The 22,530-nt window shown below is 42.2% G+C and overlaps 1 protein-coding gene, 2 non-coding genes and 1 pseudogene across 6 annotated transcripts in view; all 4 read left to right on the forward strand.

Annotated features, from left to right (window-relative positions):
- AKR1D1 (aldo-keto reductase family 1 member D1) overlaps positions 1–10,073 on the forward strand; it is a 41,847-nt gene extending 31,774 nt beyond the window's left edge. For 3 of the 4 annotated variants that reach the window (NM_005989.4, NM_001190906.2, XM_047420763.1), the window contains 2 exons: positions 5,458–5,540; positions 8,388–10,073. In NM_005989.4, coding sequence (NP_005980.1) covers positions 5,458–5,540; positions 8,388–8,430 — 126 coding nt within the window. In that variant the 3' untranslated portion in view covers positions 8,431–10,073. The remainder of the gene's footprint in view (positions 1–5,457; positions 5,541–8,387) is intronic. The other variant, NM_001190907.2, reaches the window with a different exon arrangement.
- Positions 12,856–12,959, forward strand: LOC124901828 (small nucleolar RNA U13). Its single transcript, XR_007060664.1, has one exon. It is a non-coding gene; the product is annotated as a small nucleolar RNA U13 (small nucleolar RNA).
- On the forward strand, positions 14,096–16,024 carry RCC2P3 (regulator of chromosome condensation 2 pseudogene 3; annotated as a pseudogene).
- MIR4468 (microRNA 4468) lies at positions 15,526–15,589 on the forward strand. The gene has a single exon (NR_039678.1). It is a non-coding gene; the product is annotated as a microRNA 4468 (primary transcript).

Here is a 22,530-nt window from a genome sequence, read left to right on the forward strand (position 1 = left end):
AGACAAAGGGGTAATTCATTTATTCCGCTACTACTAAAGACTAAACTGCTAGGTAAACACAACCATAGAAAAGTGCCATACAAAATTAATTAATTACCCATTAGCTAATTTACATTTCAAAAGTAAATTGCCTGTTTAGCCCTACTCATAATTAAAGATAAATAAAAAGTAAGATACTAGTTGTCCCTTCATATCAGAAAATAATCAAAATACTTGGTAATATTTGGGGAAACAGGCGCTTTGACACACTATTGTTAGAAACATTAATTTGTATGAGATATGGAAGAGTAGGTTAAATTATTTCATGTCCATCAAAATTCAAATGTACATGTTACATGATTTATTTATATGTGGAACCTAAAAAAGTTAATCACATAAAAGTAAGGAGTAGAATAGTGGTTACCGGAGGCTGAGATTATTGAAGGGAGGGTGCTATGAGGAGATGTTGGTCAAAAAAGTTGTGATTACAGTTAGAAGGAACAAATGTCAAGAGATCTATTGTACAAAAAGGTGTCTATAGTTGATGATGATATAGTGTATTCTTGAAAAACATAAAGAGAGTGCATCTTATGTGCTCTTACCACAAAAATGATAACTATATGAGGTAATGCATTTGTTAATTAGCTAGATTTAACCACTCCACAATTTATATGTATGTCAAAACATCATGTTGTATATGATAAAAACATACAATGTTATCTGTCAAATTAAATAAATTCAAATACACTTATCCATTGACTCAGCAGTCTTACCCTATAGATGTATTTGCACATATATACATGGGTGCACACACACAGACAGATGTTTATTATAGAATTCTTTGTAATTTTTTAAAAACTCAAAACAATCTTCAACAGGATTTTATAAAACAAGCTATGACATATTTGTACACTGAAATATCATATAGCCATTTAAAAAATACAAGTACTGACATAGGAAGATAGCCACAATATTAGACAATTACATCTTCAGAGCTTTTTTGCTACATGATAGAATGCAACTCAAACTTTAGCAAAAAATAAAAGATAATTTATTGGCTTGCATAACTGGAAAGTCCATGAGTAGATCAGAAATGGCTAGACACAGGTACTCAAATGATTTATAAAGAGATTTAGTCCTCTCTCTCTCTCCCTCCTTTCTCTCCACCCACATGGTGGCACAGACAATTCCTAACAGCTCCAGGATAATCAATTACTCATACTCAGTGAAGAGTGAAGATGATCAGAAACAAAGTCTTCTATCAGGGTCTCTATCAATCCCTGATTAGCTCCTGAAGGTCACCCTCATATTACCCACTGTGGCCACTGAGTAGGATACCCTGACCCCAGGGCTATATCCCTATTCCTGTGCTGAAGAAGTTAACAGACAGCTCCACTAGAAGGGGGAAGGAAAGTTCGTAAAAAGAAAAAAGGCGAAAAGATGCTGAATAGTTACATCAACTCCTGACAATAACATTTGCCAAAATGCCTCATCCTAAAAAGTGGTTGACACTCTTTTCCACAATCTTAGAAAGAGATCAACTGCATTACTAATGTGTAGGCTCATTGAAGATTAAAACACATTTTGATGGACTTTTTGAGGACTGAAAATTTTGCTGTTCAAAAATTATAGGAGTGTTACAAGTGACCTTTGCGATGGAAAGCATTTGGACTTTATAGCATCTAGCAAATCGCAATTTTGTACCAGAGAAAATGCCACTCTCCTTGAAATTTTCATTGTAACTAATTATGTTATATTCCATATGTTTCCATAGCCTTGATAATAAAAGAATGGAACTCAGAGGTCACATATTCCAAGAAAAAAACGGATACAGATTTAGAAGGAAAATGAGAATGAAAATCACAGCCAATTCTCACTCTTTAGGGAATAGACTCACCCAATAACCATGAATTTTGCTGGGTATGAAAGCAAGGAGCAACAAAATAATAAATTATGCTCTCTTAGAATGAAGGTAAAATAAACTGTTAGAAATATTTTAAAAGAATGGCAAAGATCAATAAAGCATAAAGAATAAAGGGAAAAATAAATATTTTGATGAAAAAAGAAAAGCAAAAGAAAATAAAAACTATGTAGTAAAAAGTTAAGACTGGGCACAGTGGTTCACACCTGTAATCCCAGCACTTTGGGAGGCCGAGGCAGGAAGATTGCTTGAGACCAGGAGTTTGAGAGCAGCCTGGGCAACAAAGCGAGATCCCATTGCTTTAAAATTAAAAAAAGTTAAGTTAAATCATCAGTTTAGGCTGGGTGCGGTGGCTCACTCCTCTAATCCCAGCACCTTGGGAGGCTGAGGCAGGTGGATCACCTGAGGTCTGGAGTTTGAGACCATCTTGGCCAACATGGCAAAACCCCATCTCTACTAAAAATACAAAAATTAGCCGGGCATGGTCATGGGCGCCTGTAATCCCAGCTGCTCAGGAGGCTGAGGCAGGAGAATCGCTTGAACTAGGGATGCGGAGTTTGCAGTGAGCTGAGATCATACCATAGCACTCCAGCCTGGATGACAAGAGTGAAACTTTGTCTCAAAACAAATAAACAAAAAACCATGAGTTTAAAAACTAGATAAAATTAAAGGTAAACATGAAGAAAGCTAATACGGAGCCAGGATATTTTAAAAGTTAAAATTTTAAAAAAAAGAAATTATACCAGGTGTGGTCCAGCTTTGTTGCCATCATCCACTGGCCTCCATTCTTTGAAGATGTTATCTCTGGGCTCACTTTCACTTTCTCCAACACTCTTCCTCTCATAATTCTTAGTGAATTCAACATCCACACCAGTCGTTCTCCACCCTTATCCGACAGCTCTTTGACTTCCTCTCCCATAAGAATCTTGTCCTATATATTTCAGCCACTAATTCCCATGCCTAGCCCTTGGAAATTGCAATAACAACTTCCTAATAAATCCTCCATAGCCTCAATTTCAAACATCCCCCTCTCTTTCCTACACTAGCAATTGTTCCTCTCTACTGTGTAACTCCCACCAACATTCACATATGTAGTAACCTCCTATCTTAAAAAATAAAATCCAACCTAGACTCACTTTCCTCTCCAAGTATTATCCACTTCTCTCTTCTGTTTCAAACATCTGGAAAGAGAAGTTGTTCTCGCTGCTTCCCATTCCCTTCCCCCACTATCTCTTGAAGCCATTCAAACCAAACTTTTACCCTGACCATCCCACTGGAACAGCCCTTGTCAAAGTTACCAGTGACCTCCACATTGCTAGATCCAGTAATTCTCAGTCCTTGTCCCACTTGGTCTTTCAACCACATCTGATACAGTTAACAATATCTCCTTCTTCAAACATTTACTGAAAGGGAAAACTGTAGGGGAAGCAGTTTGAGAAGAACTATCAGGAGCTCAGTTTTGTAATATGAGATCCTCATTCACTTAGGATAATTTGTGCCATGGGAGAAAAAAAAGACCACTGAAAATTAATCCACATACGACAAGAAAAAACATGACACAGAAATAATGTAGAGAGGGTGAATTTGAAAGCTTATATTAAGATCGAAACCAAAGTTTATGAAAGTAAGTTCACTTCTATTCTCAACAAAATGTAGGTTACAATTGCAAGTTTATTAACTCAGAAGAAACAGTGAATCAGTGTTGATTTTTTTTAAATATGCTTGACAAAATTACATACCACAACATGACATCCTCTATTTCACAAAAGTTTTGCAGAATGTTCATAAAGAGAATAATTATCACAAAAATTTTGGAGGGCTTTATCTGAAGGAGATTTTTAATTCTTTAATTTTTTTTTCAAGTCACACTCTTTTGACATATCTATCAAAGTAGATTTTTAACTGTGCAGGATTCTTCTTTGAAAAAGATCATACCTATAATTAGAACAAATCTCCAAGATCATTTTCTTTGATTTCATAAAATCCTGCATCTTTGCAAGGTTTGCAACCTCACTTTGCCATTAGATTATTCCATATATTTACTGGATAAGAGGCTGATCCTCCAAGACTTAAAGGAGAGGACTAGTGTTTAGCAAAAAAGAAGTCTGAGTAAGGATTCATTTTATAGGCGATTCATTCATTTTTATATTGTGCACATTTTTGATTCCTTATGTAATCTCATAAATGCCAATAATTGGATAATAAATCATAAAAGAAAATGGTTCCCTGAAAAGAGTACTTGGAAAGAATCCATGGAGGGATAATTAAGTAAATCGTGTTCCATCTACACAATGAATACCATGGCTAAATGAATAAAGTCAGGTTGCATATTGTGATAGAACTATCACTGGGGTCACTAAGATATTATGTGAATAAAGGAAAGTTGTAGAATCATAAAGATATGGTCCAATTACTGCATTTTCCTCTTAATGTGTGTAGTATTTGGGAGGAATATCTGGGAAGGGAAATAAGAATGGGGTGATGAGTGACAAGATTTTCATTATTTATTCCATATGGGTCTATGTACTTCTACAGTGTTTCATTTCTTTGCAAAGAGCGTATATTTATGTACTACTTATATAATTAAAATCTATTAATAATTAAATATATTAAAAGTTAAAGGATAGAAAGATAAAATAATAAAGAGAAGATAGGTTATATACAGATAATCCAAATGTTAAAAATAAAAGGAAGTGAAAAAATATATATAAATGTTAATAAGGGACAATCATAAAACCAGAATATAAATAAAGTATAAAATCTAAGAAAAATAAAACAATGGAAATGTAATTAGAATAAAAAGGTAGAAGAGACATAAAAAATGAGAGAAAGGATTTCAACATAGCAAATTAAAAGTTAAAAACAAAGCAAATTAAAAGTTTTTTTAAAAAGCAAATTTAGGCCAGGCGTGGTGAGGCTCATGCCTGTAATTGCAGCACTTTGGGAGGCTGAGGTGGGAGGATCGCTTGAGTTCAGGAGTTTGAGACCAGCCTGGGCAGCATGGTGAAACCCCATCTCTACAAAAATTGAAAAATTAGCCAGGCATGGCAAAACATGTCTGTAGTCCCAGCTACTTGGGAAACTGAGGCATGAGACTAGCTTGAACCCAGGAGGTGGAGGTTGCAGTGAGCCAAGATGATACCACAGCACTCCAGCCTGGGTGACAGAGTAAGACCCTGTCTCAAAAAAAAAAAAAAATCATATTTAGAGACTCAGAATTTTTTAAGTGTAAGACAGTAGTTCAGAATCAAAAGACCAGCATTTCATACAGAAATAAGAATTCTTCACATTTGAAATTTTAGGGGATTTCATTAACATTTGTGGTTTCAGAGCATTTGGAATTTCTTGTAAGATGTCCCCAGAAAGACCGTCTCAAAAACAAAGGGCAGAACAGAGTATCCAGCTCCACCTCAGTGGGTAGCCCCCCAACACCAGCCTGACTCCTCTTAGACATTTGCAGAGATATTCATACATCTTTGGAAGGCTCCCACCGGTGGCCCCACTTTCTGATCCCAAGCTTGACCTTCAAAAATGTTCTATTATTTCCGTTATTTCAGATCTTTGACTTTTCTCTCACTGAAGAAGAAATGAAGGACATTGAAGCCTTGAATAAAAATGTCCGCTTTGTAGAATTGCTCATGTAAGTTCCGGGGATCATTAATGGGTATTGACCAGTGGTATTGAATGGTCATGTGTCAAGCAACAAGGCTCATAAGAACCCTGACCTATGTCCATAGCACCAGGGCAAAGCATGGTGGGCCGCATATTCTGAATGTTAACATGCCTGAGGGAAATACATCCACTACAGGGCCTTCCACAACCCTACACTCTCACTGAAAAGAAGAGTCCTGGCATCTGTGACATTTTGTGACTTCGGTGAAGGCATGCAGGCTAAGGAACCTGAGGAGAATTAATTCATCATGTACATATGCTAAAACAACAGCAGCACAAATGTTGAAACAACTTATTTATTTATTCCTAAAAATGAAAGTGATGCACAAATTAGAGCAAAGTTATAAAAAAAAATTTCTAAGGGAGAGGCATGATGATGTTGTAGAAAGAGCACTAGATTGAAACCAAGAACTTAGACTTTTAGACAAATACTTAAGATTTTAGTTTCCAGCTCTACCTATTAGCTGACTTCCTACAAGCAAAATTCCATATACTCCTTCAAAATGTCAAGTTCAGCTAACCAACTGAAGTAGCTCTTTATTCTCTAAATATTACAGGCCCTTTAAAAAAGAATATAGTTTTGGCCAGGCGTGGTGGCTCACGCCAATACTTTGGGAGGCTAAGGTGGGCGGATCACCTTAGGTCGGGAGTTAGAGATCAGCCTGGCCAACATGGAGAAACCCCGTCTCTACTAAAAATACAAAAATTAGCTGGGTGTAGTGGCAGTTGCCTGTAATTCCAGCTACTCAGGAGGCTGAGGCAGGAGAATTGCCTGAACCCAGGAGGCAGAGGTTGCAGTGAGCCGAGATCATGCCATTGCACTCCAGCCTGGGCAACAAGAGCAAAACTCCATCTCAAAAAAAAAAAAAAAAAAAGAATATATTTGCTATATATGTGTGTATAGATATACACACACATATACATATATATACTCATATACACACACATGCATTTTTTTCTTCTTAATCATTCTCTATTAATGTTTCCAGTTCTTCAAATCACCTGAATATTCATCTTCATCTTGAATCTTTAAGTGAACATTCAGAAAATGCTAAGATGATTCATATAGTTTGGACACTTACTTTACTGATCCTACTGTTTTTCATGGGTCAGAAAGTACAGTGACTGGATTAATATTGAATTTCTGAATTAATAAAACAACTTCCTAATGGAAATTTTTCAGGGGGAAAATTGTTTGACATCAAAAGGCACCACCACCCAACCTCAAGAACAAAAGAGTAAACATAAACACATAAATAACACTTTCCTAGAACTAACAGTTATAGGTTAATTAATAGCTCTTGAAGATAAATGACTTCTATTGAATCAATAATATATCATTAAGTTAAGAAGAGAAACCAGGTGCAGTGTCTCACATCTGTAATTCCAGCACTCTGGGAGGCTAAGATAGGAGAATCACTTGATGCTAGGAGTTCGACACCAGCCTGGACAACATAGCAAGACCCTATCTCTACAAAAAATTTAAAAATAAGCCATCATGGTGGCATGCACCTGTAGTACTAGCTACTTAGGACGCTGAGGTGGGAGGATCACTTGGACCCCAGACTTTGAGTGAGCTAAGGCTACGCTCCAGCCTGGTAGACAGAGCAAGGCCCTGTCTCAAAACAAAACAAAAAACAAACAAACAAAAACAGTATAATCAATCCACCAATGTACTAATTGTTTTACAGACAGTTGGTGACATTATTCAGTTTGACATCTGACATATTTAAAAGCAATTCTAGCAACTTCGGGGAAAAAAAAATAACTCTTACCAGGAAATAACTAGAAAAATCAGCAAGGTGGAACAAGAATTAGGCCCCATTAATCACAAATACTGTATCATTTAGAGATATTGGACCATGATTTTTTTCAGCTTTTATCAAGTTGATTTTTAACATTTGAAAATCTTAATATTTTCCATTTTAATTTACAGTACATGCAGAAAACTAAATCAGGAACACACACATTCCAGACATTTTACAGACCATTTCATCATTGTTATTTAAGAGCTAAATTCACTGCCATCATCATCGTCATAATCATCCAGCAAACTTATTTTGCTACTCATCACCTTTCTAGATCTCAAACTCTCAACACGCAGGAGGTCTAGTGAGAGGGGCAAGTAAAAATGCTAATGAGACTGGGTGTGGTGGCTCACACCTATAGTCCCAGCACTTTGGGAGGCCGAGACAGGGCGACTGCTTCAGCCCAGGAGTTCAGCTTGGGCAACCGTGGTGGCACATACCTATAATCCCTGCTACTTGGGAGGCTGAGGCAGGAGGCTTGCTTGGGAGCCCAGGAGTTTGAGGCTGCAGTGAGCTATGATCATGCCACTGCACTCCAACCTGAGTGACAGAGTGAGATTCCATCTGTAAAAAAAAGAAGAAAAAAATGCTAATCAGCAGAGGGTGACACTGGTAATAAGAGTTTTGAAGAGAAATGCCCATGTAGTGGATTGGAGAAGGAGGCAGCCAGCGTCAAGGGAACAGAAAGGGGGAAGGAGTAGGGAAGAGGCATGTGCACATGACATGCCTAAGACATGATTCACCACTGGGGATTCTGTTCTGAGTAAAATGTTGATAAGGTGGCCACCAACCTTCCCTCAACACACTCACATTCAGGAGGCTGTCCAGAGCTTCAGGAAAAGGTGCTGGCTTGAGGGAAAACAGAAGAGGAAAGTAGGTAAGAAACAGCAGAGGAATGAATAGGAGAGAGGGGTAGTGGTCAGTGAAATTCTCAAAGGATGCTATTGAAACATACAGCTGTGCAATTTTTGAGTGAACTTTTTTCTGTGGGGGAATTGTTTTGGCAGGTGGCGCGATCATCCTGAATACCCATTTCATGATGAATACTGACTGCAGGGAGTTCCTGAACAGATTTTTCACTCCCACGAGTGCCAAGACGGTGCAATGGGTAGTCCCCTAGATGTGAAAATGAAGAGAGAGGGTTTTACCATCCTGAGAAGAAATAATGATGGAAACATGTTTAATGTTTGTGCAGTGTAAATGACTTTGACTCAGTCACATTGAAGTAAAAATATTAAAATCTGTTGAAATAACTCTTAGGAAATTATCAACTAATTTTTTCAGATCAGTATCTTCTAGATTCCAGACAGAAAAAAATTACACTTCAGAAAAGACATCAAAGGCAACATATGACAACAAGTAATTTATGAATCTGGGTAGTAGCGTTGGTAATCTGAGTTCTTTAAGGGTTAACAGGACAACGAAGTGCATGTGGCAGTGTGCTGGCAGTGGCCTTGAGGCTTTGGACCATTGGTTACAAAACAGACACAGCCAAGATAAGATCCACACACACATTATTAACAAGGAAGTGATTTGCTGCACCTTGAGTTGAGAGGGCTACATGTAGAAAAGTCTTAAAATAGAGCTAAACACCACAGTGGTCAACAAAGCCATCATAATGTTGGTGTTTGTTTCCCTCCAATGTATGTATGTTTAGTTTTTATCCAACCTGAGGAATGAAAACTTAACTGGATCTCTCTTGCATCCTTAAAGGGCCTGAGTCTCAACATGGCTGCTGATCCATACTTACACATCTTACTGTCAATCTTGCCTACATTGATTATAGAACCACTATTACGTGAAAAGGCTTGAAACAACCAACATATACAAATAAAACCCTGCCTTGTAAAATAGTAAAAGAGAAGCCATATATTGGCTTTTCTTCTTAACTTGGGAGATATATTGAAACAAGGTGCTTTATAAGATTATTGTACTTAAGACTTTAATAGTGTTACTTGGATAGCTTATATGAATTTTGAGAATTTTATATGAATTTTGAGAAAGCAAGTTCAAAAGAACTCTGGTAATTTTCCTGTATGTACAATTTAAAGAGTGAATAAGATTATTAGAATTCAGCAATAGAGATATATCTATTTTCAATTCAACTACAGAAATATATTTTATTGGCCGGGTGCGGTGGCTCATGCCTATAATCCCAGCACTTTGGGAGGCCAAGGTGGGCAGATCAGGAGGTCAGGAGATCGAGACCATCTTGGCTAACAAGGTGAAACCCCGTCTCTACTAAAAATACAAAAAATTAGCCAGGCGCGGTGGCGGGGGCCTGTAATCCCAGCTACTCAGGAGGCTGAGGCAGAAGAATGGCATGAACCCGGGAGGAGGAGCTTGCAGTGAGCCGAGATAGCGCCACTGCAGTCCGGCCTGGGTGAAAGAGCGAGACTCCGTCTCAAAAACAAAAAAAAAAGAAAAGAAATATATTTTATTCATTCACATTAGGTCACTGTCATACTGTCATAGGATGAGAGAGTTCTTCAAAAATTATGTTTTCCCAAGATCAGTTGCTTATAGATAATGTTCAATGACCTCAAGACATATATTTTTGAGAAATTATCATTTTAAAAAATTTGGTCTATACTGATTGTTTTCACTGATTCCAATATTATTACTTATAACACTGACCTCTGGAAAATATTTTGTTCACAAGAAATAATAAAGTATAATGATTTGTTGCATCACATGAATCTCCATTCTGTTTCTAAGGTTGGGGCAGGGGAAGAATCATCTGAAGCCAGTTAAAAGGCCTTTGATTTAATCCTGCTGTACATTTAGCACTGGGAAGAGAGGAAAGAAAAGGGGATGTGGTGGCTCATGCCTATAATACCAGCAATTTGAGAGGCCAAGGCAGGTGGATGGCATGAACCCAGGAGTTCAAGACCAGCCTGGAACAACATGGCAAAACCCCATCTCTACCAAAAAAAAAAAAAAAAAAATACAAAAATTAGCCAGGAATGGTGGCACACACCTGTAGTCCCAGCTACTCAGGAGGCTGCTATGGGAGGATCACTTGGGTTGGGGAGGCAGAGGTTGCAGTGAGCCAAGATTGTGCCACTGCACTCGAGCCTGGGTGACAGAGTGAGATTCTGTCTCAAAAAAAAGGAAAGATTGAAGGAAGGAAGGGGAAAAAGGAAGGAAGGAAGGAAAAAAGAAAGGAAGGAAGGGAGGGAGGGGAAAGAAAAAGGAAGGAAGGAAGGGAGGGAGGGAGGGAGGGAGGGGAAAGAAAAAGAAGGAGGGAGCCGGGCGCGGTGGCTCACGCCTGTAATCCCAGCACTTTGAGAGGCCGAGGCGGGCGGATCAAGAGGTCAGGAGATCGAGGCCATCCTGGCTAACATGTTGAAACCCTGTCTCTACTAAAAATACAAAAAATTAGCCGGGCATGGTAGCGGGCGCCTGTAGTCCCAGCCACTCGGGAGGCTGAGGCAGGAGAATGGCGCGAACTCAGGAGGCGGAGATTGCAGTGAGCCGAGATCATGCCACTACACTCCAGCCTGGGCGACAGAGCAAGATTCCGTCTCAAAAAAAGAGAAAAAGAAGGAAGGAAAGAAAGAAGGAAGGAAGGAAGGAAGGAGGGAAGGAAGGAAGGAAGGGAGGGAGGGAGGGAGGCAGGCAGAGAGGGAGGTATGGAAGGAGTGACGGAGGGAGGAAGGAAGAAGAAAAAGGTGGTACCATTATGAAAGAGCAGAAACTTGAGTCCTGGTCCCTGTTGTGAAAGTCCTTAAAAATACTTTGAGGGTATTAGTGTAGAGGTGAGAATGGAAACAACACCTATCGAAGCATTTTTAAAAGACAGACATTGGAAAAGAGTCCCATCATTTGTCAGCGAAAAGGTATTTCTAAAAATTGGGGGAGCGAAATCCTCTCTTAGTCATAACAGAGATGGAGGAAAAAGATCTGGAGACAGAAAGTAGGAAGGTCAGGAAAGAACAACAGTCTGATGGAAGCTTCTGCATGTTCCTTCTCCCTCCACTGTCACCCCTCTCAAGCTTCCCATCTGTTATGGGTTGAACTGTGTCCTCTCAAAATTCATATGTTAAAAAGCCCAGACCCCAGTACCTCAGAATGTGATCTTATATAAAAATAGGGCCAGGTGTGGTGGCTCTTGCCTGTTATCTCAGCTATTTGAGAGGCTAAGGTGGAAGGATCACTTGAGGCCAGGAGTTTGAGACCACCCTGGTCAACAGAGTGATACCTTATCTCTACAAAAATTTTAAAATTAGCTGGATATGGTTGTGTACACATGGCTGGTTGTGCACACACATAGCACCCAGCTATTTGGGTGGCTGAGGCAGGAGGACTGTGTGAGCCTAGGAGTTTGAGGCTGAAGTGAGCTATGATCATGCCACTGCACTCTAGCTTGGATGACAAAGCAAGACCTCATCTCTTAAACATAAATAAAATAGGGTCACTGCATATGTAATTAATTAAGATGAGATCATACTGGGGTAGGGTGGAGTAAGGTGAACCCTAAACCAATGAGACTGTGTCCTCATAAAAAAGGGAAATTTGGACACAGACAACACACAGGGTGAATGTCATGTGAAGACGAAAACAGAGATCAGGGTGATGCTTCTACAAGGTAAGAAATGACAAAGATTGCCAACAACTACAAGAAACCAGGCAAAAAGCATGGAACAGTTACACCTCAGCCCTCAGAGGGAATCAACATTGCCAACACCTCTATCTCAGACGTCTAGCCTTCAGGACTGTGAAACACTACAGTTCTGTTCTTTAAGCCACCCAGTTTGTGGTACTTAGTTATAGCAGTTTTACAAAAGAAAACACCATCCCTCAGTAAGGATTTCCTGTCTCTCCAGTTAACATCGGCTGTAAAAATGGCCTTGCCAAATCAATGCTTTACTGAGCCCAAGTATTGACAACCAATAATCTTGATCTTTTGGGGACTTACGCAACCCCAAAAAGATGTTTGTTAACCCAAATCAATTTTTCTTATCAATGGCCTCTGATCAGCTATGTAGAAAGATCCGTCAATAGTGATGCAACCTGCCTGAAAAAGGAGAGGAGACCCACGGCATGCCATGCTCACTGGTCCACAGAAACATACCGGGCTGGAGCGGCAAGGACATCCTGGCCCAGTGCACAGAATGTTTCTGGACCTGCAGTGTTTCTTGATAAGACTGTTTCTTTGCTGGGTACAATGGCTCACGCCTTTAATCCCAGCACTTTGGGAGGCCGAAGCTGGTGGATGATATGAGGTCAGGAGTTCGAGACAAGCCTGACCAACATGGGGAAACCCTGTCTCTGCTAAGTACAAAAAAAAAAAAAAATAATAAGATGGGCATGGTGGCATATCCCTGTAATCCCAGCTACTTGGAAGGCTGAGGCAGGGGAATCACTTGAACCTGGGAAGCGGAGGTTGCAGTGAGCCGAGATTGTGCCACTGCACTCCAGCCTGGGCAACACAGTGAAACTCCACTCAAAAAAAAAAAGGAATGTTTCTTGATCTTTTTGTAGTTCATGAGCGTGATGACTGAGTGTTCATGTGCATGTGTGAGGCGTGCCACCCTTAAACCTTGTTATAACATCAGCACATTACCCACATGACACGAAAAAAAATGTTTCTTATCCCTGACAGTTCTCCAAGAGGGCCTCCTTCAGGCATTGTCATTCCGTCCACAGTAACAACACAGCACCAGGAGAGGCCATTAGAGGGGCATAGGCAATGATCCTGTCTTCAGCCTTCAACACTTTGAGGTGTGTGCATTCTGAAGCCACAGTCATAGGGATTAACAAAGATAAACAAACTCATATTTCTAAGACTTGATATTTCTCAGAACTCTCAAAATTTCAGGCTTCTGCTAACTTCAATGTCTTCTTCTTGAATCAGAATCCTCCCTGAATCCAAATAGTAGCCTTAATGTTTCTGTCTCTACACATGAAATCCCCAAATTCTCACTTTAGCTTCTTCCACCCTAGTCTCTGCCTCCCATTCATGAGAAACAGGATGAGAGGGTGATGCCCAACTAATAGGCTTACTCTCTCATCTAAAGGGCATTTTGGTAAAAGGCTTTTTCTGTTGGGTCATATCTCCTCTGGCAGGAGCTATATCCCCCTGGCTTCCTATTTGGATTCTTCAGAATCTCGGCTTGAGCTCCGGCTGCCCTCCCTAGATGTACTAACTGCCTAGCTTGGGGCAAAATTCTCCTTTTGCACAGCACGTGCTTGCCTGATTCAGCTCAAAGCAGATCAGACTTTCTTAATAAGGCCACATTCTCTTCCCTCGTTGCCTTCTGCACTCCAGGCTTGAACCAAAACTTGGTTCCTTTATGAAGGACTTCACCGAAGGCCACAGGAAGCATCCAGCACAATCTTCTAACCCAGCACCAAAGCCTGAGCCTTGGCAGACACATGGTCCAAGTTCCAAAATATAAGTTACACTTTAAGTGAATCTGGTGAATGGGCTGGAGCCTTGGTCTGGTGGGGAGTGCTGGGGGGTGCTGGGGAGGAGAGGAAGGGACAGGGGTGTAGGGGGAAGCCCTTCTATCCGTCTTTTTTTAACAGTTACTTCTCTTCCTTTTTCTGTCTGGTTTCTCATAACTCCAACCAGCAGAGACAAGCCCAGGATGAAGACTGGGCAGTAGCCTGGGAAGAACCGGGCTTCGGTAACCACAGGGGCCCCAGGCGGCCCGGGAAGCGTGGAGGTCCCAGCGTGCGGGCAGAAAGCCCAAGAGGCCGAGCGCTGTGGCAGCTCCATGGGGCCCTGGCGGAGGCAAGGGCACAGCGTGGCTGGCTGCATATGTGAACAAGGTGAGCGGCGGGGCCGCGGTCGTCGCGGAGTCTGAGCACACCAAGGAGCGCATCAGACTTCAAGGGTCGAAGTGCAAAGGGGCAGTTTTTGATTTCGGGGTCAACCAACTAGGACTCGATGGGTGGAAAAGAAGTGCCTAAACAGCAAGCTGCTTACCTCAATCTCGGTCAGAATTTGTGGGGGCCCCATAGATGTGGGTGCCTGGCGGGGTCCTGGTGCGGACAGCGGTCTCGGGTTTGCGCACTGCGCACAGTATCCTCATCACGACACGATGGAAGCTGCGGAGCTGGGGTCAAAATAAGAAGGCGCAGCTGGGACCTGGTGACACCAAGAGAATGGAAGCCCCCAGACTCATTGCGGGTCTCTGCCGGGAAGTGAGTATGTAGGCAGCCTGTGGGCGGAACCTCACCTTGGCCTTGACGGAAACGGGCTCTGCGTTTGCCTTTGGGGAGAACAAGATGGGGCAGCTGAGCCTCAGCAACCACGCAGGAGCATCCCCAGCACCGCACAGATCATGGACAACGGGCAGCCAATTACTAGAATGGCCAGTGGAAATGAATTCCGTATAATGGGCGACAAAGGAGACCTCTGTTCCTTCGTGTGCCCTCAATGTGGTCAGCTGGGACCCAGGCACAGTGAATAGTTAAGGCTGTGAGCTGGTGCTGGTGCCACGATGAGTGGCCCACCTTCACTGAGAATGAAAGATGGGTAGATTCTGCCTGTACCAAAGGTGGTTGTGAGACCCCCAGAGCAAGGCAGGGACCCCTCCCCATTTCCCTTACATGCTGTGCTGACTGAAGCTACATTCAACCTTGCAGCCACACAACCACAAACGTTTCCTTTCACAAAATAGACCAATCAAATCTGAGACAGAGTATTCTGAGCACAAGCATCTTGGCTAACAGTGGGCACTTTGCAAAAGATGCTCCCCAATGCACTTGCCCAGTAATGTCCTAGCCTGTCCTAACCTGGCCTTTGCTTCATTTCAGTAGTAAAAAGCACACCCCTGGGTGGAGATTTAAGATGCTAATGAGACATGCATCACATGAAGAAGCATGTCCAGAGACTGCATAGGTGCAACTGCCAAACCACCCCAAACATGCAATGATGTCACATGGAGGAGCTCCAAAGCAAATGAAACCCCAAACTAACCTGCAGTCAGGGAGCTAGCTGCAGGTCTCTTCCTGCTGCTACCTCCCCTTCTGCTCAAGCTGAGAGCTCCAATAAACTGCCTTGCTCAAGCCCATCTCAGATTCTTGGTCTATTTCTATTTACTAAGGGTCAAGAACCCACCAGCCAATAACGGTTGTGTAAGACGTGACCTGTAATGCTAACCACACATTGATTCTGGACTCCAAGAAATGAGTCTTCTCCTGGGGCTTTGGTGGCTATGGTTGACTGGGCCACTCAGAGCAGAAGGATGAGATGGTCCCCGCTTGGTGAGGTTGGAGTCTGACTTCCTTGGGTGTGGGGCATCCCAGATCCATGTTGGTTACACCTGGTCCTTTGCTGTCTGTGAAGTTGGTAGTCTCTTTTTCTGGGGGAGCCCAATATCTCCCATGAATCTTCCATGTACCTGAAAGCAGTGCAGGACCTCTGCGGCTGCAGAATCCAGAGCCTGGCTTGTGGGAAGAGCAGCAACATTGTGGCCGCCAATGAGAACACCATCAGCTGAGGGCCATAACCAACCTTTAGGTAATTGGGATACAGGGACCATGAGCCCAAGTCTTCCACTGCAGCCCAAGAGGTGAAGACTCTGAATGGCATCTTTTCAAAGCAGGTCTCCATAGGCTACTCACACTCCTTGGTGATAGTGCGAGATGAAAGTGAGACCAGGAAAGAGAAGATCAAGAAACTGCTAGAGCCGGTTGCGGTGGCTCACTTGTAATCCCAACACTTTGGGAGGCCGAGGCAGGCGGATCATCTGAGGTCAGGGGTTCGAGACCAGCCTGGCTAACATGGTGAAACCCCGTTTCTACTAAAAATACAAACAAATAGCTGGGCATGGTGGCACATGCCTGTAATCCCAGCTAATCGGGAGGCTGAGGCAGGAGAATCGCTTGAACCCAGGAGGTGGAGGTTGCAGTGAGCCGAGATCACGCCATTGCACTCCAGTTTGGGCAACAAGAGTGAAACTCCAACTCAAAAAAAAGAAAAAAGAAAAGAAAGAAACTGCTAGAATACAACCCCTGAACCCTTTGATGCTCCTGGGGACTCCTGCAACTCCACCCGTCTCCCAGAAGCTGTCATTTCCTGTGCAGTGGGAGGTGAAGTCAAACAAGGAATTTTAAAAAGCAAAAGTTAGCCAAAGTTGCATTTTTGTTAGACTCCCTGAGGTTCCATTTTTACAAGGGATCCAATGTTAATTATCCTTTTCTGCATACTTTTAAAAGTCTGTTTTTTTCTCTTCATGTTTAATTAAAATATTTGCTCATATTTGGAAAAAATATGAATTGTTATAAAATAGTGGAAAAGATATCCAGACTCCCAGTGAGGACTGTGTTTCCCATTATGCTTCACCCAAATTAACTCAGTCAATTCTAACTTTCAGGAGTATTCACTTGTTATGCCCCACTTCCACATAGCGATTTTTCCATCAGGATGTTATTAGTTCCTAGTAATAGAAATGCAATTCAGACTAGTTTAAGCAGAAATAGTGAATTCACTTTGTCACAGAACTGGAAACAAAGAAGTGCAGGGGTAAAGTGGCTGTAAGCAGCTAGAACTAGGGCTCAAGCAGTGTGTTTACAACTTGTGACTGTTTTCACCCCGTTGGACTAGCTGTCTCCAGACAGCAGGCATGAAAGCAGGCAAGATAGCTCTCAGCAACACTCTCCTTCACTCAGATTAGGAACCCAGAAGAGAGTGAGAGTCTTTGGTAATAGCTCTGTCAAGGAAGTAATCCTGGGAAGAACTCTGACTGGCCAACATGCATCATGCTGGAACCAATGGTGATGGCCTGGGGCAGACTGAATGGAAGGGCCTGAGACATAAACTCATCCCTGTGCAGAGAAGAAGCAAGAGAGGAATGAGAGAGACAGTGGGAGGGGGATGGAAAGGCAAGAGGGTAGGAGCGAGTGGAACAAGAGCAGCACTAAGGAGAAAGGAATCATAAGGAACTACAATCCTGCCTCAATCACCAGAAATACGTTGCCCCAAGAAGCAGGCAAAATAAGAGATGTCTGCAACAGGGACTTTCAGGGCGTGGAGATAAATAAAATTTAAAAGCTATTGGAACCCCCCCCAGAACACATTAAGCCCTGAGTGAGATGTGACTATGATCTGAGTCACACATGGTTACAACTTCTGTTCTCAGATAGATTAACTCACTTTCTTATTTTTCTTGTTCTGCACAATGACTAGAGTGAATTCAACTACACCACAGATAAATGCCTCCTGCCTTCTTCATTAATGGCCCTGGTCATAGATTCACTTCCCCTTTGCTGCCTCACTTTGCTTAGACCAGATGACAAAAAACGCATGACTATTACACCCTCTGTGAAAAGTGTTAAATGTCCCCTTCCCAAAAGGAAACACTGCCTATAACCAATCAAATTGCTGTAACTATGCACCAACCTTGTGTAAATAGTGTTGTAATCCCACTAAAATCTCTGTCTCTGTCTAAATAAATGAAATCTTAACTTCCCTACTTCAAAATGCTGACTCCATTCCTTTGGAGTTGGTGTTTCTGGGTGGTCCGTCCTCACTGTTTGAGCTTGAATAAACTCTCTTTAAATTAGATTCTGAACCTTTTGATTATTTTAGGTTGACAGGAGTTTTGGAGTACTAGGTTTTAGCTTCCTGCTTCCCTCACTTCAGATTCCCAAAAAAATGATATAGTAGAAATCTCCATCAGCACTGAAAATTAAGAAGGTTGCTGCCTATCAGAGGGTGTAAATGAGAAGAAACTGTCAAAGTATAATTTTTTACAAATCAGGCCGGGCATGGTGGCTCACACCTGTAATCCCAGCACTTTGGGAGGCCAAGGCAGGCAGATCACCTGAGGTTGGGAGTTCGAGACCAGCCTGACCAACATGGAGAAACCCCGTTTCTACTAAAAATACAAAATTATCCAGGCGTGGAGGCGCATGCCTGTAATCCCAGCTACTCGGGAAGGCTGAGGCAGAAGAATTACTTGAACCTTGGAGGCAGAGGTTGTGGTGAGCTGAGATTGCGCCATTGCACTCTAACCTGGGCAACAAGCGCGAAGCTCCATCTCAAAAAAAAAAAAAATCAAAAATATGATTTTTATGTAAATACAAAATGAGTACATACCAGTGATTTAATTATCTCATTAATGATGGAAACAGAAAAACGGTAAGAGAAATACCAAGAGAATTGGAGAAAGTAAAATGTTTCAGCAGCTGAAAGAAAGGATGCTTGGATCAAATTGCTCATTTAGCTCCAAACCAGTTTAGCCTTCTGAAAGGCAATACAACTATATAACTTTTGAGTTTATCTTTTCTACCAGATTTAATAATTTATATCTCTACAATAAAAGATCCATTTGCATTGTTATTGGACAAGAATCATTTTCATCACTACCAGGTTTCTATTAGTTAATAACTACTCTTACAAAATTGTAAATTACCCTATTAAACAGTTCACTCAGCTGACCTGGGAAATCCAAACCCTGCACCTTCCAAAGAAAGGTCTGGCCATTAACCACTTATTGGGAGATAACCTCTAAGCCCTTGGAATGTCATTCCTGAGAAGAATGTCTTTGCTTATCTGGGGCTTTGGGCCACACTAGACAGTTTATGCTAACAATGTGATTTATGAAGGGGGGTGGGGAGGCAGGTGGCTACATGATGTCAGTTTGACTCCAAAGGGCTGGAGACTGAGTAACTAAGGTCAGCTATGTGGGCACTCCAAGCCTATATGACTGACCCCCAATAAAAACCCTGGATCTAGGGCCGGGCGTGGTGGCTCACACCTGTAATCCCAGCACTTTGGGAGGCCGAGGCGGGCGAATCACAAGGTCAGGAGATCGAGACCATCCGGGCTAACATGGTGAAACGCTGTCTCTACTAAAAATACAAAAACTTAGCCGGGCATGGTGGCGGGTGCTGGTGGTCCCAGCTACTCGGGAGGCTGAGGCAGGAGAATGGTATGAACCCGGGAGGCAGAGCTTGCAGTGAGCCGAGATCGTGCCACTGCTTCCAGCCTGGGTGACAGAGCGAGACTCCGTCTCAAAAACAAAAAAAAACAAAAAACGCTGGATCTCAACGTTTAGATAAGTTTCCCTGGTTGACAATACTACTTACGTGTTGTCACACATCACTGCTGGAAAAGTTAAGCACTATCTATACAACTCCACTGAGAGAGAACAAGTAGAAATTTGTGCCTGGTCTCTCTCTTGGACTCTGCCATATTGTCCTTTTACCTTGGATAATAAATCTAAATTCTTTTTCTATAATAAACCATAACTATGAGTAGAACAGCTTTTCTGAGTTCTGTGGTTCCTTCCAGCAAATTATTGAACCCGAGGGTGGTCTTAGGAACCCTATACCACAAATAATTAACAGCAAATCAAAAAAAGTTACAAAGTTTCCCCTGAGGGGAATCAGTCCTTGAGGAAGCCTGCTAGACAATCCCCACAACACTGAAAGTCGACACATTTTTTTTTCATCCACTTTCAAATTTTAGATAATTTTTCTTAATGTATCTTAGAGAAAATACGAAGTGTGAGACTTTAATGAGCTGTGGCAGGAATACAATAATACCTTTAATGTCATGACAGGCCCTTACCTACTCTACAAATTTGTGGTAACAAAGTATATTGAAAACTGTATGAATCACCCTGATGCCCACAGAAAATAGATGACTGTGCACACTGAGCACTACTGAATTCACATCCCTTGATAAAGAATTTTGCCTTCATATTAAACTATTTGTAATTTATGTTGTTATACATATATATGAGTATATATAAATACACACACTCACAGTAAAGTACATAAAGTACACTAATCTGAAATGTACAGCTCAGTGATATTTTTTACATATATACACACCTGTATTATTCCATTCTTGCATTGCTATAAAGAAATACCTGAGATGGGGTAATTTATAAAGAAAAGAGGTTTAACTGGCTCACAGTTCCACAGGCTGTACAGGAAGAATGATGCTGGCCATCTGCTCAGCTTCTGGGGAGGCCTCAGGAAACTTGCAATCATGGCGGGAGGTGAAGGAGAAGCAGGCTCATCTCACATGGCCCAGGCAGGAGCAAGGGAGTGCAGTGGGGGTTGGGGAGGTGCCACACACTTCTCAACAACCAGATTTCATTAGAACTCTTATCAAGAGAATAGCACCAAGGGAATGATGTTAAACCATTCATGAAGGATCCACCCCCATGCCCCAATCACCTCCCACCACGCCCCACCTCCAACACTGGGGATTACAATTTGACATGAGATTTGGGTGGAACACAGATCCAAACCGTATCATTCTGCCCCTGGCCCCTCCCAAATCTCATGTCCTTCTCACATTTCAAAATACAATCATGCCCTCCCAACAGTCCTTCAAAGTCTTAACTCATTCCAGCATTAACTCAAAAGTCCACAGTCTCATCCGAGACAAAGCAAGTCCCTTCCACCTACGAGCCTGTAAAATAAAAAACAAGTTAGTCACTCCTAATATAGGCATTGGGTAAATACTCCTGTTCCATAAGGGAGAAATTGGCCAAAATAAAGGGACCACAGGCCCCATGTAAGTCCAAAACCCAGCAGGGCAGTCATTAAATCTTAAAGCCCCAAAATAATCTCCTTTGACTCCATGTGTCACATCCAAGACACACTGGTGGAAGGGTTCCCCCAAAGCCTTGTGCAGCTCCACCCCTGTGGCTTTGCAGAGTTCATCCCTTTCAGCTGCTCTCAAGGGCTGGCATTGAGTGCCTGAAGCTTTTCCAGGCTCAGGGTGTGAGCTGTCAGTAGCTCTACTATTCAGAGGTCTGGAGAATGGTGGCCTTCTTCTCACAGCTCCACTAGGCAATGCCCCAGTGGGGACTCTGTGGGGGCTCCAACCCCACATTTCTCCTCTGCACTGCCCTAGTAGACGTTCTCCATGAGGGCTATGCCTCTGCAATGGGCTTCTGTCTGGACATCAAGGCTTTTCTATACATCTTCTGAAGTCTAGGCAAAAGCTCCCAAGACTCAACTCTTATATTCTGTGCACCTGAAGGCTTAACACCACATGGAAGTCACCAAGGCTTACAGATTGCACCCTCTGAAGCAGAGGCCCAAGCTGTTCCTGGTCCCCTTTGATCCACGGCTGGAGCTGGAGTGACTGGGATGGAGGGAGCAGGGTCCCAAGGTTGTACAGGGTAGTGGGGCCCAGGGCCTGGCCCACAAAACCATTCAGTCCTGCTATGCCTCTGGGCCTGTGATGGAAGTGGCTGCGAAAGTCTCTGAAATGCCTTCAAGACCTCTTGCCCATTGTCTTGGCTGTTAGTACTTGGCTCCTCTTTACTTATGCAAACTTCTGCAGCCTGCTTGAATTCTTCCCCTGAAAAATGGGTTTTTCTTTTCTGCCACATGGCCAGTCTGCAGGTTTTCCAAACTTTTATGCTGTGCTTGCGTTTTAAATATAAGTTCCAGTTTCAGATCATTTCTTTGCTCATGCATATAAGCATAAGTGGTGAGAAGCAGCCAAACCACATCTTGAATACTTTGCTGCTTAGAAATTTCTTCCACCAGATACCCTAAATCATCACTCTCAAGTTCAAAGTTCCACAGATCCCTAGAGCAGGGGCACAATGCAGCCAGATTTTTTGCTAAAGCATAGCAAAAGTGACCATTACCCCAGTTCCCAATACATTCTTCAGTTCCATATGAGACCTCCTCAGCCTGGACTTCATTGTTCATATCACTGTCAGCCTTTTGGTCACAAGAATTTAACAAGTCTCTAGGAAGTGCCAAATTTTTCCTCATCTTCCTGTCTTCTTCTGAGCCCTCCACACTCTTCCAACCTCTGCCCATTACCCAGTTCCAAAGTCACTTCCACATTTTCAGGTATCTTTATAGCAATGCTCCACTCTTCAGTACCAATTTTTGTATTAGTTCATTCCTGCACTGTTATAAAGAAATACCTGAGACTGGTAATTTATAAAGAAAAGAGGTTTAATTGGCTCATGGTTCCAGAGGCTGTACAGGAAACATGATGCAGGCTATCTGCTCAGCTTCTAGGGAGGCTTCAGGAGACTTACAATCACGGCAAAACACAAAGGAGAAACAGGCTCATCTTATACAGCCAGAGCAGGAACAAGAGAGGGCAGGAGAGAAGTGCTACATACTTTTAAACAGCAAGATTTCATGAGAACTCTATCACTAGAACAGCACCACGGGGGTGGTACCAAGCCATTCATGAAG

This window comes from Homo sapiens, chromosome 7 (genome assembly GCF_000001405.40).
Source record: "Homo sapiens chromosome 7, GRCh38.p14 Primary Assembly".
In the NCBI taxonomy this organism is placed as follows: domain Eukaryota; kingdom Metazoa; phylum Chordata; class Mammalia; order Primates; family Hominidae; genus Homo; species Homo sapiens.